This window comes from Homo sapiens, chromosome 17, assembly GCF_000001405.40.
Source record: "Homo sapiens chromosome 17, GRCh38.p14 Primary Assembly".
NCBI classification, from domain to species: domain Eukaryota; kingdom Metazoa; phylum Chordata; class Mammalia; order Primates; family Hominidae; genus Homo; species Homo sapiens.
Genome location: NC_000017.11, coordinates 72,183,808 through 72,200,920, shown reverse-complemented (window position 1 = coordinate 72,200,920; position 17,113 = coordinate 72,183,808). Strand labels below are relative to the sequence as shown.

The window sequence follows — 17,113 nt, the reverse complement described above, 5'->3', positions numbered from 1 at the left end:
CTTAGCAATTAGTATTGGGATTATTTACATTTAAAATATTCATTTAAAATTTAATTTCCTTACCATTTTCTGTTTTGATCACATAGCCACCCTTGACATCTGTCTTTCACAGTGGTCTACACTTTATGCTCAGAGAATGCAAATTCATTTTAATACCAGCTTTAGCCACATATAAAGATGAATCAGTCTTCCAGAGTGTATATAATACATTGCTGTTTCCTCTGACATTTCCCCCCATGCTTCAACAAGAACCACTAAGAGTTGATTGTACTTCAATACCTTGGACAATATAAGCCTGGCAGGACAGTTTTGTGGACTCCTCAGCCTATACTTCTCCAAAGAGGAGATTTCATTTTTCATCTCAGTCTCCAGGGCTCCAAAACTTACTTTTGTTAATCATTAAGAGCAAAATTGTCAAACAGATGACAGTTTGGGTAAGTATACTGGTAAAGATCTTTAATTATTTAAAAAATTGAAACCATTTACTAGGACTTATTTTTTAAAAAATAAGTAAACAAAAAGATAGCCTACCTCAAACTGGCTTAAACAATGCAGGGGGTTCATTGACTTACTCTACTGGAAGGATAATGAGTAACGTGGAATTCAGGGTTGGTTTGCTCCAAACAGATCAATGAAGTCATTAAGGACCTGTTTTACTTTCTCTTTGCTTTGTGTACATTGGTACCATCTTTATCTTCAGGCCAGTTTTCTTTAGAGTGGCAACATGGCTAACACTCTACGTTTATTACCATCAAACCACTCCTAGAGTGAGAAGGTTGGTTTCGGTAGCTCTCTCTGACAAAGTTAGAGACTTACTTCCTCAGAAACCCTCCAAAATCTTCCCTCAGGAGTCAGATATGGAAATGCCATATGTTGATTGGCACAGACTTTACTTATTGCAAACCAATCATTATGGCAGGAGGACAAGAATCCAATCTCTGATTGGTTCAACCTTGCTTCTGGGTGGGGTCAATCTCCATTTAATCGCATGACTACTACACAATTGAGGAAACATAGAAGGATTGCTGGGGCTTCAACTCTAATTTCTACTACAGTAAGGCTTTAAAATTTCTCAGTATTAAACCAACCAGCATGAGTGCCTTCTATAAGCAATGAGCCCCTGCTAGGTTTTTGGCAATTGACTCCAAAAATCATTGTCTTGACCTTTATGGTTACTGAAATAACAAAGCACTGATCTGAAAGCTTAGAGTGACAGGCTGTCCTGTAGCTTTTGTGGGGTGATTGTGGAGAGTGGCTTGTTATAAGACTTATGGCAGGTACCTAGAATTTGAACAATGCAAATGACTGAGTTCCAAGGCACCTAAGTAGGAACATGTCATTTGCATTAAAAAGAAGTAGGAGTGATTGAGAAGTTTCTTTCCTCCCTTCCTTCCATGTGTATGTCTGATCACAGTTGTTTGGGGAAAATTATGTCCACTAGACCTGTTGGGCTGTGGTACAACTCCAGTTAATATTTGACCATTGGCTTCCTGTTGCCCAGAAAACTATTAGTGAGGAATAAACCACAATATAAGTTGTCTCCCTTTTTCTCTTTCCAACTTTTGGGTCTCTGCCCTTTTAAAGAGATGCCTTTCTGCCTATACATTTGGAGGATATGTTCACTGCTTGTCCTAAAGGGAGCAAGTGGGAAAAAATCCTGTGATGGTAGTTGGGCCTTGTCTACTTTTCTTTTCTTTTTTTTTTTTTTGAGACGGAGTCTTGCACTGTCACCCAGGCTGGAGTGCAGTGGTGCAATCTTGGCTCACTGCAAGCTCCGCCTCCCGCGTTCCCGCCATTCTCCTGCCTCAGCCTCCCGAGTAGCTGGGACTACAGGCACCCGCCACCACGCCCAGCTAATTTTTTGTATTTTTAGTAGAGACGGGGTTTCACCATGTTAGCCAGGATGGTCTTGATCTCCTGACCTTGTGATCCACCTGCCTCGGCCCCCCAAAGTGCTGGGATTACAGGCGTGAGCCACCGCGCCCGGCCCTTGTCTACTTTTCAAAGTGGTTGAAGGAGAAGGTGCAGGTGACTGAGTCTCCCAATCATTCTGCCTGGTTTCACGGCTGCTTGAGCATATACCTAGCTGTCCATCTTAGAGGTTATCCAGGATTGCAGGCGAGGCAGGTGAGAAAATTAGGAATGGAAATTGAAAAGAAAAGAACTTTGGTGTGTGGGATCAACATGTATCAGACTGATGCAACTCCAATTAGAGAGAAGGGAGGCCTCTTGTCCTAAGGACAAAACTGGTCTGTTTGCAACTTTGACCCCAGTTCCCCATCTCACATCCTTTCCCCTTCGGAACTTGGATGGATTGAAGAATCTTGTTGGCATATCGATTCTCTGAGCACCTGTGTCCACCGGACTGTCCTTTATGGCTATTTCCTTATCTCCTGGCTTTGGTTGGCTGGTGTCTCTGTGGTAATGGAGAGTGGGGAGGGGACGTGGTAGCATTTCAATCCATTTGTCATATCAGTTGCCACTGGTTTTTTTTTTTTTTTTTTTTTTTTTTGAGATGAGTCTCGCATTCTCACTCTGTTGCCCAGGCTGGAGTGTAGTGGCATGATCTTGGCTCAATGCAACCTCCACCTCCCAAGTTCAAGCGATTCTCGTGCCTCAGCCTCCCAAGTAGCTGGGATTACAGATGTGCGCCACCATGCCCGGCTAATTTATGTATTTTTAGTAGAGATGGGGTTTCGCTATGTTAGCCAGGCTGGTCTCGAACTCCTGACCTCAGGTGATCCACTCGCCTTGGCCTCCCAAAGTGCTGGGATTACAGGTGTGAGCCACCCCACCTGGCCAGTTGCCACTGTTTTGTGCCGCCTGGTGTGTACTCTCAATTGTGTCCTGGAGAAGGAGAAGCAGAGCAGAGGGATTCAGCTGAAGGGCTGCCCCCACCCTCTGAAACTGGGGGTGGGGACATGTCACCGATGGAACCGGACAGCCAAGGCATCTCCAGCCAAGGCATGGAGATGGTAATAGAATGCCCACCTCCCCGGAATTATTCTGTAATTCAGATTTTATGTTTTAGGAGGGAGCGTGGCATTTGTATCAGCCCAAAGGCCTTTACTTTATTGTTGAATTAAGAGGCAAGTAATTCAGATATAACCATCCCATAATATACTCTAAGATGTGATCTTTCTTATTCGGGGTTGGAATTTTACTTAAAAATCGTTAGAGCTACCACTGTGCCCCTGCCTTAAACAGAGCATGAGTGTGCTCCTTGTTTTGTTTTGGGCCCCATCCATATGCTGTGCATTCATTTCCATCATTCACAAAAACACTGGCCCCCTACCCCCCAATGTCAGGCTTAAACAGGTCAAGCCGGGAGTTCAGTGGAAACATTCATTGCTGGCCAGGCCTGTGAATGCCACTGGTTGGGGTCTGGTGAACCCTTAGTTTTGATCTACTCCTACCTTTGCCCTTCGCAAAGGCTCAGATGAAGTTCCTCCCAGATTCATGAAACGCTAGATGAAACCCTCTCTTTCATTCCATGAGGAACTCACCAGCATGGCCCAATTGAATAGCTCCTTCATATTTGCACTATTTGGCCTCTGCATCCTTTACAACATCACCCTTCCTCTAGAACTTCTTCTCTTTGGCTTCTATTGCAAGGAATGCTGTGTTCTCTTCCTGTCTCTGCTGGTACTTTTTGGATCATCCTTCTTGGTTCTTTTGTTTCCTCCCACTCTTTAAAAGGTGGTATTGGCCCCTCTTTTCATATTGTTCTTCCATGTCATCTACTTCTACAGCTGTAACTGAATTCTCTCTCTCTCTTTCTCTCTCTCTATATATATTTAAATATATATACGTATATAAATAAATATATATATGTGTGTGTATATATCTATATATATAGAGATATATTTTTTTTTCACAGCTCCAAATGACCATTGAATGTAACTGTGAATTCTGAAGTGGAATCTCAAACCTTGCCTCTAACCCAGATCCCTCTCCTAAGCAACCAGCTCTGAGAGACAGCTGTCTGGATGGGTACAAACTATTGAAAAACAAATTTGAGTTTCTCTTAAAATTTCCGCCTGCCATTTTCTCTGGCTTTGACGGCATCTTTATCTTCCAGTTGCTCAGACTCCAAATCTTTGTATCATCTTTAATGACTCCCCTGTATGACATAACTCTCATCTTCCTCCTCCTCCTCTTTTTATTTTTATTTGTTTATTTTTTTGACATGGAGTCTCACTCTGTCACCCAAGCTGGAATGCAGTGGTGCAGTCTCAGCTCCCTGCAACCTCCTACTCCTGGGTTCAAGTGATTCTCCTGCCTCAGCCTCCCAAGTAGCTGTGACTACAGGCACGTGCCACCACGCCTGGCTAAGTTTTTGTATTTTTAGTAGAGATGGGGTTTCACCATGTTAGACAGGATGGTGTCCTCCTGACTTCGTGATCCACCCGCCTTGGCCTCCCAAAGTGTTGGGATTATGGGCATGAGCCACCAAGCCCGATCTCCTCTTCTATCTTTTCCTCATTCTTCTCCTCTTCTCCACTCCTTACCCCCTACTTTGTCCTTCCTGAAGCCTCTGCCACTTCTGGCCAAGTCATCCTGTACTCAAAAACTTTAATACCTCTTTAATCCCTAGAAATCAAAGTTCACTTTTTGCTTACTGTCACACAAGTTTCCCCCAGACATGGCTTGCACTCTGACTCCAGACCTCCTCTTCTGCTAGTGTGCCCTTTGACTGAGCTTTCTGTAGCTGGGACTATTAAAAGGGACATCCTAGCCGGACGCAGTGGCTCACGCCTGTAATCCTAGCACTTTGGGAGGGTGAGGCAGGTGGATCACCTGAGTTCAAGACCAGCCTGGCCAAAATGGCGAAACCCCGTCTCCACTAAAAGTACAAAAATTAGCCGGGCATGGTGGCAGGTGCCTATAATCCCAGTTACTCGGGAGGCTGAGGCAGGAGAATCACTTGAACCTGGGGGGTGGAGGTTGCAGTGAGTGAGTCGAAATCATGCATTGCAGTCCAGCCTGGAAGAAAGAATGAAACTCTGTCTCAAAAAAAAGAAAAAAAAAGGCACATCCTTTGGTGAAATACATTGAAAACTGTATTAGTCAATTTTTACACTGCTGATAAAGACATACCTGAGACTGGGTAATTTATAAAGAAAAAGAGGTTTAATGGACTCACATTTCCATGTGGTTGGGTAGGCTTCACAATCATGGTGGAAGGTGAAAGGCACATATTACATGGTGGTAGACAAGAGAGAAATGAGACCCAAGTGAAAGGGGTTTCCTCTTATAAAACCATCAGACCTCGTGAGACTTATTTACTCCCACGAGAACAGTATGGGGGAAACCACCCTCATGATTCAATTACCTCCCATTGGGTCCCTCCCACAACATGTGGGAATTATGGGAGCTACAATTAAAGATGAGATTTGGGTGGGGACACAGCCAAACCATATAAAAAACCTTCATGGTGTGTTTGGACCAAGTTATTCCACTTCCAGGAATTTATCTTAAGGAAATGATCAAACATCTGCACAAAGATATGTGCAGAAGAAGATTCATTACAGCATCATTTGCAATGACTAAAAAATGAAAACAGTATCAGTGTCCAATAATATCAATACAATGGAATACTAGGCAACCATTCAAAAACAATACACACTTATTTCCTGACATGGAAAGATATTTCCAGCATTTTTCTATGTTCTAAGGGAAAAGGAAGTTATGGAGTAATATATATGATGCTTGCATATAGTATTTGTATATGTAAAGGAATAAAACAACTCTAGAAGGAGATGAGAGAGATCATAAGGCAGCTCTGAAGTCTCCATGGAGTTACCAGACAGGCTGGCTGGCTCAGGATGTGGTGTTTTCTTCATGAATTCTAGAGTTAAGCATTGCTTTGGAATTGCTGGAAGGAACAGGAAGTGCTATAATACATATACATATCTATCTCTCTCTCTCTCTCTATAGATATATTTAAACAATTTCTGCCATAACTGTGGACTAACAACATAACGGAATGAATAGTTAAATTTACAACGTGCTGCCGGGCGTGGTGGCTCATGCCTGTAATCCCAGCACTTTGGGAGGCCGGGACAGTCGGATTACCTGAGGATGGGAGTTCGAGACCAGCCTGACCAACATGGAGAAACCCTGTCTCTACTAAAAATACAAAATTAGTGGGGCGTGGTGGCACATGCCTGTAATCCCAGCTACTCAGGAGGCTGAGGCAGGAGAATCGCTTGAACCCAGGAGGCAGAGGTTGTGGTGAGTCGAGATCGCACCATTGCACTCCAGCTGTGCAACAAGAGCGAAACTCCGTCTAAAAAAAAAAAAAAAATTTACAATGTGCTGAGGCAAAGCAATTTATTTATTTGTTTTGAGACAGGGTCTTGCTTTGTTGCCCAGGCTGAATACAGTGGCACAATCATGGCTCACTGCAGCCTCAACTTCCTGGGCTCAAGCAATCTCCTACCATAGCCTCCCAAATAGCTGGGATTACAGGGGTACACTACTACACCCTGCTAATTGTTGTATTTTTTGTGGAGATGGGGTTTCACCATGTTGCCTTGGCTGGTCTCAAAATCCTGGGCACAAGCGATCCACCCGCCTTGGCTTCCCAAAGTATGGGATTACAGGTGCGAATCACAGAGCTCGGCTGCAAAACAATTTTAAAAAATTCTTAAAAGAAGACCAGGCGCGGTGGCTCATGCTTGTAATCCCAGCACTTTGGGAGGCCAAGGTGGGCGGATCACTTGAGGCTAGGAGTTCGAGACCCAGCCTGGTCAACATAGTGAAACCCTGTCTCTACTAAAAATAAAAAAATTAGCCGGGCGTGGTGGCAGGCGCCTATAATCCCAGCTACCCGGGAGGCTGAGTCAGGAGAATCGCTTGAACCTGAGAGGCAGAAGTTGTGGTGAGCCAAGATTGCCCCATTGCATTCCAACCTGGGCAACAAGAGGGAAACTCCATCACACACACACACACAAATCTTAAAAGAAAACATCCTCCACTGTTTTGCCCCTTGCCTTTGTTGACCTCATCTTTGTGCCTAGAAGGCTTCATTTCCCCATGTCAGTAAAGCGTTATCCATTCTCAAGTACAGTTAAATTCCCTCTGCAGGGGAGGATCGAAGGATCTGGAGCTGGAGGTTCCAGGTTTGTATCCTCCTTCTGCCCTTTACTAAGCTGAGTTTCCATCTCTGTAAAAGAAAAAGGGGTCATAATGCCTCATTCACAGGCAAGGCATGAGGACTGAACAATGTATGTAAGAAGCATTTTAAGAACTGCAGAGTGTCATGCAGCAGTCAGGGAGTGTGATTCATGATTATTATGAAGGCCCTGGGGTTTAACTCTGTGGACCGAATTGCCACACGAGCAGCTGGCGCCGCTTCAGCCTCAGCCTTGAGCCCAGTGTGGATACAACCCAAGCTTCACATTGGTTGGAGCCCTGGTCCCGACAAATAGGCTGTGTGGGTGAAAGGGGGTATGATTCCTCCCCACATGTCCCCAGCATTTCCTGTTCCTTCCAGTGTTTCCAGAGTGATGCTTAACTCTAGAAGTCATGGAGAAAACGCTGTGTCCTGTCTGAGCCAGCCTGTCTGGTCACTGCATGGAGACTTCAGATTTGCCTGTTATCTCTTTTCTCTTCCAGTCCTGTATTCAGGATCTGAGGAGTTGAGTGGTCCCCAGGAGCTGGAGGCCCTCAATGCTACCCACTGCGTGGATGATAAAGAGGCCTCCATTTCCCATCATATCCCTGGCTGGAGAAGAGGCTGGAGGCACTGTGTGTGTGGGGGTGTCTCTGTGTGTGTGTGTGTGTGTGTGTGTGTGTGTGAGAACTAGTTTAAAGTCTTCTCTGCACACACACAAGATGATTGGGCCTACTGCATGCTTTTTAAAGTGAGTCAGGACTCCAAACCACCTACTCAGGTCCGGAACAGTTCGAGTGGGAAGGAGAGACTCTGGGAAGAAGTAAGGAGGGACCAGAGGGTGATGCCAGCCTCTGACGAGATCATCATGACGTGGGGCATGGAAAATAGGAGCAGTCTTATTTATCCTGGTCTATGCATTTGCCTATGGGAGAAGGGGTGGACTCCAGATGATCTGCAGGGACTCTCAGAGGTGAACTGCCATCCAGAAGAAGGACTTGGAGGGATAAGGGGGTGCGAAAGCCCGAGACCATTTGTCTTGGCCTGGTTGGAAGCTGTTTGGCCAGCCTGACTGAACCTGTCAACAGCTAGAAAGTGAGGTCAGCTGGGCTAGAGGCATCGTTAGCTATCACCACAGCTTGCATCTCAACCTCTTGAATCATCCATGATGAAACTCTTTATCAGCCTGGGAGGAGGCAGCCCCAGAGAACAAGACTCCTGGAAAAGGCTTGATTTTGAGCAAGGCTACATCCGGAAGGACTGGCCAGGATGAGTTAGCCCCAATCCACACTCCAAGATAACCAAACAAGTTGACTTGCTGAAGGGAGTTATTTAGTATTCTCCATCTGGGATCAGGGGAATGCCAATCTTCTTCTCCCAAATCTGGGCTGACTTAACCCTCAAGGTCCCAGGCAGCGGATTTTCCAGGCTTTATCATCTTTCCCTCTGAACCTCTACTCCCACTCTCTGGAGGGATTCCAAAAAAACCACCAGCTAAGGGATCGGGCATGGAAACAGTTTTACTTCTGGAGAAAGATTAGGGCTTATTATGTGACAGGGAGTGATAACACCAGGGGACAATCAGGAGTTTCGTCAGCGATGTTCTGCTAAAAAGAAACAACTGCAGTCTTGAAGCAACACATTTGAGAGATAGGAGAGAAAAAGAGAACATCTTGTACCTCCCCCGACCCCTGGGCCTCTAAATGCTTCAAGGCTGCTCCAAATTGCAGTGGGGAGAGGCTGGCTTCGGGAGCTGTCTTCTGAATGACAAGGAGGTCCTGCCTGCCTGAAATGGTAATCCTGGGGTTAGAATCAGGAGGGAGGCTGGAATTTTTAGTATAGCCTTGAAAGAAAATATCAGCCCACCCCGCCCCACCCCTGGGATGGGAATAGGGTAGGAGGCTAGCAAAATAAATAAAATCTGCTGTCTGTCCTGACCAGGCATAAATTGTTACTTGATCGGCAAAGGAAAAAATGAGCCAGATATTCTTCCTGGGCTTGTTTTCCATCTTCTCATCCTCTCGTCCCTTATCAATGTGTTTCTAGAAGAGTCCCAAAGGGAGCAATTGCATGAGAGTTACAAGAAGGTCAGTCCTGGAAAATAAAGTGTGGAGCTGAGAGGGGCTGAGCAGAGAAGATGGGGGGTCTTGCAACACCCTCAGGGCAGCATTCCCACACTGGGAGACCCCTCGTTGGCTGACAATGTCAGAGTGAGGACTGGCTGTTTGTATTCAGTGCCAAGATTTCCCCAAAACCACCCGGGGAACACACCACCAACTGAAAGGAGGAGAAAAGTGCACTGCACAACACCTCCATTGACCATGTGTGTTAATGCTTCAAAAGGAAATTCAGTTATCATGAAAGTAACCAGTTTGGGCTGGGCGTGGTGGCTCATGCCTGTTATCCCAGCACTTTGGGAGGCTGAAGCGGGTGGATCACGAGGTCAAGAGATTGAGACCATCCTGGCCAACATGGTGAAACCCCGTCTCTACTAAAAATACAAAAATTAGCTGGGCATGGTGGCACATGCCTGTAATCCCAGCTACTCAGGAGGCTAAGGCAGGAGAATTGCTTGAACCTGGGAGGCAGAGGTTGCAGTGAGCCGAGATCGTGCCACTGCACTACAGCCTGGCGACAGAGCAAGACTCCATCTGAAAAAGAAAGAAAGAAAGAAAGTAACCCAGTTTGCAGTTCTGGGGAAGTTTGAATTACCCTCCTTTGAGCTTTAAGACTGCTGTTCTTTTAAATTTTTTCTATGTTGACTTCACTGGGAATCAAGGGGGATGATTGAAGCTGATCCCTTCACCAAGCTCTTCAACCCTGTTGCTGCCATAAGCCATCCATGGTGATGGCTGGCTTGGGTGTTTTTGTGAATGTTGATAATTTCATTAGAAAGTGATTTCATAGGCCTGGCATAGTGGATCACACCAGTAATCCCAGCACTTTGGGAGGCCAAAGTGGGGGAATCACTTGATCCCAGGAGTTCAAGACCAGCCTAGGGAATATAGCGAGACCCTATCTCTACAAAAAATTAGCGAGGCATGGTGGTGTGCACCTGTGGTCCCAGCTCCTTGGGAGGCTGGAAGGCTGAGGTGGGAGGCCTGCCTGAGCCCAGAAGGTCCAAGCTGCAGTGAGCTATGATTGCATCACTGCACTCCAGGCTGGGTGACAGAGTGAGATGTGCATTAAAAAAAAAAAAAAAGAAGAAGAAGAAGAAGAAGAAAGTGATATTGTTATGCTCTCAGGCCAATGATAAGAGCCAGGCAAGTCACCTGAAAGGTGCATTCATTCGTTTCAGTGGTTGCCATAGTGCTGCCAGATATCTAGGCAAATGAAACTGTGGTGTGCTGGGACCACGCTGGGTGAGCTATTGAGATGGGTAGTCTTTGCTTGGGCTCTGGGGGCACAAAATGAAGAGAGGAGTATGAAACGGGAAGTACTTGACTCCTTCCACATAAAGACAAGTTGGGTGCTCCTTGGAGCGTGGCCGTTGGAGATGTCTCTTAAATTGTCTCAGTACAATTTGCCTGAACTTATTAGACAAGATGTGGACTGAGACACAGGTGGCCAGCCCTGGGAATGAGTTAGCTGTGAAGGCTCAGAAAAGTCAGCTTTGTAATCTGGGTGCTGCCTAAACTTCCTGTGTTTTCTTTGTTTGTCTTCCTTTTGGTTTTCTCTTCCTAGTCTCTCCCACACTTAAATTCCAGTCTCTCATATGGGCTAAGGGAAGCCAAGAGAGAGAGAGCTGGCCACACTTGGGCCAGAGCTCTGAAGGACAAACAGTAATTCACTCCCAGGCTGACATAGCTGTGGATGTGAGAGTCAGAGGGAGAGATGGGGGAGGGGAAAGCAGAAACTCAGGTGCCATGTTGACATTGCTGGCAACCCCCATCTCCCCACCTGGAGAATCAGCTTCCAGTTTTAAAGCCTTGGGGACTTTGTGTTTTGTTTGAATAAGGGAAGCTGTTTCCCTTACATCCTTTCAAAAATAAATAAATACAAGACTGTCATATCATTTTACAGATGCTGCTACCAACAAACAAAGGGTCAGAGCTCTGGCCAATTTCTACAAACCAGAAGATCAGAAGGCAAGGAGTGCAATGCAAGGGAGGATTTTAGAGACTGAGAAAGCCAATTAGCTGGTCTATCTATGTTTCATGTTACTCCCACCACTGCTGCTAGTAACAAGAGCATGCCTCCATTACTACCACCCTCATCACCATCATCATTACTACCACTATCACCACCGTCATCATCACCACCACCATCAACACCACCATCACCATGAACACTACCACCAGCATCATTACTGCCATCACCATCACTACTACTGCCACCACCATCACTACCACCATCATCACCACCATTGCCACCACCATGAACACCATCACCACCACCCCCACCATCATTACCATCATGATCACCATCAACACCGTCACCATCACCACCACCACTACCACCACCACCATCACCACCACCACCACCATCATCACCACCACCACCATCACTACTATCATGATCACCATCAACACCACCACCACCAACACCAACACCTCCATCATCACTACCACCATCATCACCACGAACACTACCACCACCATCATCATTACCACTATCACCATCACTACTACTATTACCACCATTATCATCACCATCATTGCCACCATCATCATCACCACTATTGCCACCACCACCAACACAACCACCACCATCATCACCAGCACCACCATCACCACCACCACCACCATCACTACTATCATGGTCACCATTATCACCACCACCACCATCACCATCAACACCACCACCATCACTACTATCATGATCACCATCATCACCATCACCATGAACATCACCATCACCATGAACACTACCACCACCATCATCACTACCACTATCACCATCACTACTACTATTACGACCGTTATCATCACCACCATTGCCACCATCATCATCACCACCATTGCCACCACCAACACCACCACCATCATCACCACCACCATCGCTACCATAGTGATCACCATCAACACTACCATCACCATCACCACTACCACCACCACCATCACCATTACCACTACCACCATCAATACCACCACCATCGTTACTACCACCACCTCCACTATCACTACCATCACCACCACCACTATCACCATGACCGCCACCACCACTGCCACTTTTGGTCCCACTCTCTCTACCACAATTACCACCTCCAAGTAGCTCTCAGGAACACCAAAGTTAGGGTCAGCTGACCTTAACCAAAACAATGCATGCCAGATTGTTGAATCAGATGGGGGCCACTGAGCCTACGGATGCATTATTCTAGCTGACGGGACTGAAAAAAATAATTTATCTTATAAAGGTAACCCTAAAACTACTGGACAATAGCAGCAACCTGATGTGAAGTTTCCAGTCTCAGAGCCAGAAGACCTAGGTTCTTGTTTTTGCTCTGCCATCTGCCAACTGAGTGACCTCGAGCAAGTCACTTCTCTTTGGGGACTCAATGTCTTACCTATAAAATCAGGATCATCAAAACCTATGGTCTTACAGAGTTTAAAGAAGAAAACACATGAAAACACTTATTATCAGACTGACAAAAGGTGCTAAAAATCCTTCCCTTCATCCCTCCCTCCCTCCTTCCCTCTCTCTTCTCCTCTCTTTGTTCTTCCCATTTTCCCTCTTATCGTTACTCCTAGATCTGAGATCCTCATCTGTCCCCAACCTCAATTCAAACTCCAATACACAGTCATCAATATAGGACACTAATAAACCTTTATAACTACTCCTCTAGTTCCTAACATCCTATTCACAATGTGCGTTTTCCCCAGAGAGGAGAAAAGCTAGCCCCAGTACCCAGGCACCCAACATGTGAAGGACGGATGAGGAGCAGGGCAGGGGAGTGGAGAGGGGCGGTCCAGCTCCTCCAGAGAATGAGGTCAGGCCCTGTGCGAGGGCTAATTAAAAGGTCAGGCTTCATTTCTTGTGTCTTCCAGGGGAGCCCACAGGGTGAGCAGGCGGGGGAAGGCCAGGCTTCCTGAAAATGCCTGCCAACTTTGTATTGCAGCTGCTTGCTGGAGAGCTGGCTCAGGAGAGCTGTTTGCTTTGGCCAGATGCGCTACACGGAAACAGTAGTAGGACAATGTTGGGGGAGTGGTAGGGACTAAGGCAGAGGGGGCCCTGTGCATTTTCAACAGAGAGAAAAGTTTTCTTTGCAGGCGGTGTTACGCCTCAGGCTGCCTCAAGGAACCAGCTGTGACTTGGGTTCAAGAGCCTGGCCAATAGGGATGTCAGATGATGGGGCCGTGTGTGATGGGAAGAGCATCTGCGCCTGTTCGTGAAGAAGCGGGTTGTGTGCCTCATGGAAATCAAGCGAGAGTCTGAGGAGAGTCAGACTTTGGCTTATTCTTGCCTGTCTCCCTTTGGGTTGAATTCTCATGAGATGATAAAGAGCTTGCAGCTAACGGGCATGTGTGCTGTCAATCCAAAGAAGAGATGACCTTAAGCTGGGTGGGGGACAGGAGCAATGTGGTCAGGACATGTTACCAGTAGATGTGGCAGATCCAACAGGGGCTTCCAGGTGTCACTATTACCAGTCTTAACTTTTTTTTTTTTTTTTTTTTTGCAATAGTAAAGTAAGATTTCTTGGGCACTACTTGCCATTCCAAGTGTTAAGTGCTTTACATACATAACCTCATTCAATCTTTAAAAAATAAATTTAGAGATGACAACCCTACAGCTCAAGAAGTTCAGATTGGTACATCACACAGCCAATACAAGTAACAGATAAAATTTAGACCAAGATCTGTCTGCCTATGAGCCTGGGTTCTTAGTAGCCCTGTGATGCTGGACCAGGTAGTGATAACTCCTTCCCACCAAGTTTTACAACTTACCCTAAGGACCACCCAGGGATGAGACTGATAAAAGGTTGAGGATTTCATGGATGATAATATAAAGGTGAGAAGCCGAAATGAAACCAACTGTAATCCCAGCACTTTGGGAGGCCAAGGCAAGAGGATTGCTTGAGGCCACGAGTTCAAGATTACCTTGGGTAACATAGCAAGACCCCATTTCTCCAAAATAAAAAAATATATATATATATGGTGGTACATGTTCACCCCGGCTACCCTTTAAAAAAGAAAATTAGAGGCAGGGTCTTGCTATATTGCCCAGACGGGAGTGCAATGGTGTAATCATAGTTCACTGCAGCCTCAAACTCCTGTCCTCAAACAATCCTCCCGCCTCAGCCTCCTGAGTACCTAGGATCACAGGCATATGCCGCTGTGCCTGGTGATCTCCCTTTCGTGACTCTGGGAAAAAGTAGATGATCCTTCAGCATTTTCCAGAAGCGGAGTCTCTGAGAACCAACCTTAATCTGCAAGAATAATTTGATTTCTTTCTACAGTGCTAGGACTGGACAGAAGAGAAGGTTGAGCAGGCTGACAGATGAAGACAACCTTATGCCTAGGAGAATTGCAAGGGCAGACTTGAATCTCATGCTTCGGTCTCCTGAGCAACTTTGAAGGGCAAGTGTCTTCCGCACGAGCTATGTCGACTGAGGAAACCCCAATGGAGTTTCCAGGGTCCACCATGGCACCTGCTCCTTCCTCCAATAGAAGACAACTGATTTTTCCTGGTCCCTTGGTCCCATACCTTGTTGTGCTCTGGTGGGGAATAGATACCTAGTAAGGATTTTTCTACATATTTTGCTCTCTCAGAATTCAAAACATCTGGGATGGGAAGCAGCAGTGCTTGACTGCTGGGGTTGTCTGGGGGCCTCAGAACTAGTGAAGAGGGATTTGGAGGAAGAATCAGCTACTTCATCATTTAAGGAGAACCTCAACTGCGTCTGTATCCTCTTAACTTCCGGTCACCGCAGTGGGTCCCTCCTGCCTGCTCAGCCACCAGTCGGTCGCTGCAGAAGAGCTGACCACCCCCACCCATCCTTTGTCCGGGGAGGAAATTTGGACTCGAAGGCTCTGGCCCAGAGCCTGACCCCAGCCTGCTGCTGCTCTGCTGTAATCTCCTCCCCCTCCTTCCTCCTGTCTGAGTTTCTCCATGTCTCAAAGAGCAGGTTTCAAAAATAAGAGGCTAACACACCCTTGGCAAGTGCTGGGAAGAGGGAAATGTGTTTGACACATGCTCACCCAGAGTGCATGGAGGGCTCCCAGCAGGATACAATTAATGATCAAGGGGGAGGAGGGGATTGCAACAATACGTTTTTTTTTTCCCCTCCCCATATCCCTAGTTCCTGGAGTTTGGCAACATTTCATGGTGGAGAGAAAAGCATCCCAAGGATCTGTACATAAATAGCTGGTGCACATCGGTCTCAGGTGTAAACAGAAGGAAGTCCAAGGTATGTTGCTCATCCTATAGTACAAATGCAAGGATTTGCAGGAAAACTGGGGCGTAAACTGGAAACCAGCTAGCTAAAGGGCATTAGGAAATTTTCCCCCAAGTTTAATCTTTTGAGCCTTCAGGCTAATTTTGAAAAAAAAAAAAAAGAAAGAAAGAAATTAGAGAAGTGAAGCAGGATAATTAAAGTTATTAAAACCTGTCTATAGTTAGGCTAAGAAGTCCACAGGCACCTGAGCTTCATAGGGGGTCAGCATCAAAAATGGGAACGGAACTTTGTGTTCCACATCTTTAGAAGGCCAGTTTGGTTCCTGGGCATTTTAAGACTAGAGAGCCAAAAACCTCCCTCCTAATGAGAAAATTTTATTTTAGAATGGTTGAATCTCAGAGTTTTCTTAACACAATGAGGTAATGATGCAATGCATCTCCCTCCTCCCACGCGGAGTAGGCCTCTGTAGCCTACCAGCTGCCGAAGAGGCTGCATGTGACAGAAACACTCCAGGAATCCCCAGTTCCTTTCCTCCCAGATGCCCCAGGAAAGAAAAATAAGGAAATAAAAGAAAAAAATCAAGTAGATTATAAGAAGTTTAAGGGAAATCAGATTTAGAATTATTGGAGTAACTTGGCCAGGTGCGGTGGCTCACGCCTGTAATCCCAGCACTTTGGGAGGCCGAGGCGGGTGGATCACGAGGTCAAGAGATCGAGACCATCCTGGCCAACATGGTGAAACGCTGTCTGTACTAAAAAAAATACAAAAATTAGCTGGGCATGGTGGCACACGCCTGTAGCCCCAGCTACTCAGGTGGCTGAGGCAGGAGAATCGCTTGAACCAGGGAGGCAGAAGTTGCAGTGAGCCGAGATTGTGCCACTGCACTCCAGCCTGGTGACAGAGGGAGACTTCGTCTCAAAAAAAAAAAAAAAAAAAAAAAGAATTATTGGAGTAACTGTGTGTATAAACCAGTTGGAAAAAGTATTAGGAAAGTCTGTTTTTCCAGGGATGCCTTCGTTTGGGGTAATAACAATACTCAATGCCCATCTAACCCCAGTAGGCCCCTGTGTGATGCCCTTTGTGATTCTGGACTATCTTTCAAGGATAAGCAGGGCAGACTTTAAAATCCCAATCTTATAAAGAAAATAAAGCAAACAAACTAAACCCCTTGAGAGTTCAAATGACTTGAGTAAGTTGCACAGCTTTCAAGGGTTAGGGTTAGGACCCCATACCCCTATTTTGGCTTTGCTTATTTGTTTCACTCCTGTCCACATTTCCTTCCCCTTTAGCATGGTGCACAGGTGTAGGGAGATAACCTGGATGATTTTATAAGATCGAGTGGTTGGCATGTAGAGGAAACCAAGCCAGGAAGGTTTTAGGGCCCATCCTCTCTCTTTCCAACCCCTCCTCCTGCCTTTTCTCAGGACAGGGTTTTCCAGGACATTTAGGGCACCAGGTACTCAGCTGTAGAAATCAGAAGCATATGCTCTTTGCATATATTGAGGAAACTGGGGAGAAAGAAGCAGAGATGTCGGATACTGATGGCCCATCCCCCTTCATGAGCATCTGCAGGTTTGCCTGCTCTGCTCTTCGGTGATTATTACCCATCGTATGCTCTGTGATCTTGCTTGACACAATGCAGAAACTAAGTTAGGCGA

The 17,113-nt window shown here is 46.1% G+C and overlaps 1 annotated feature.

Annotated features, from left to right (window-relative positions):
- Positions 15,054-15,555: an enhancer, noted in NCBI's record as "H3K4me1 hESC enhancer chr17:70181507-70182008 (GRCh37/hg19 assembly coordinates)". NCBI's record gives its function as "activates a minimal SCP1, AML or CMV promoter by ChIP-STARR-seq in naive H9 embryonic stem cells {active_cell/tissue: H9 hESC(naive)}" and the evidence as "EXISTENCE:reporter gene assay evidence [ECO:0000049][PMID:30033119]".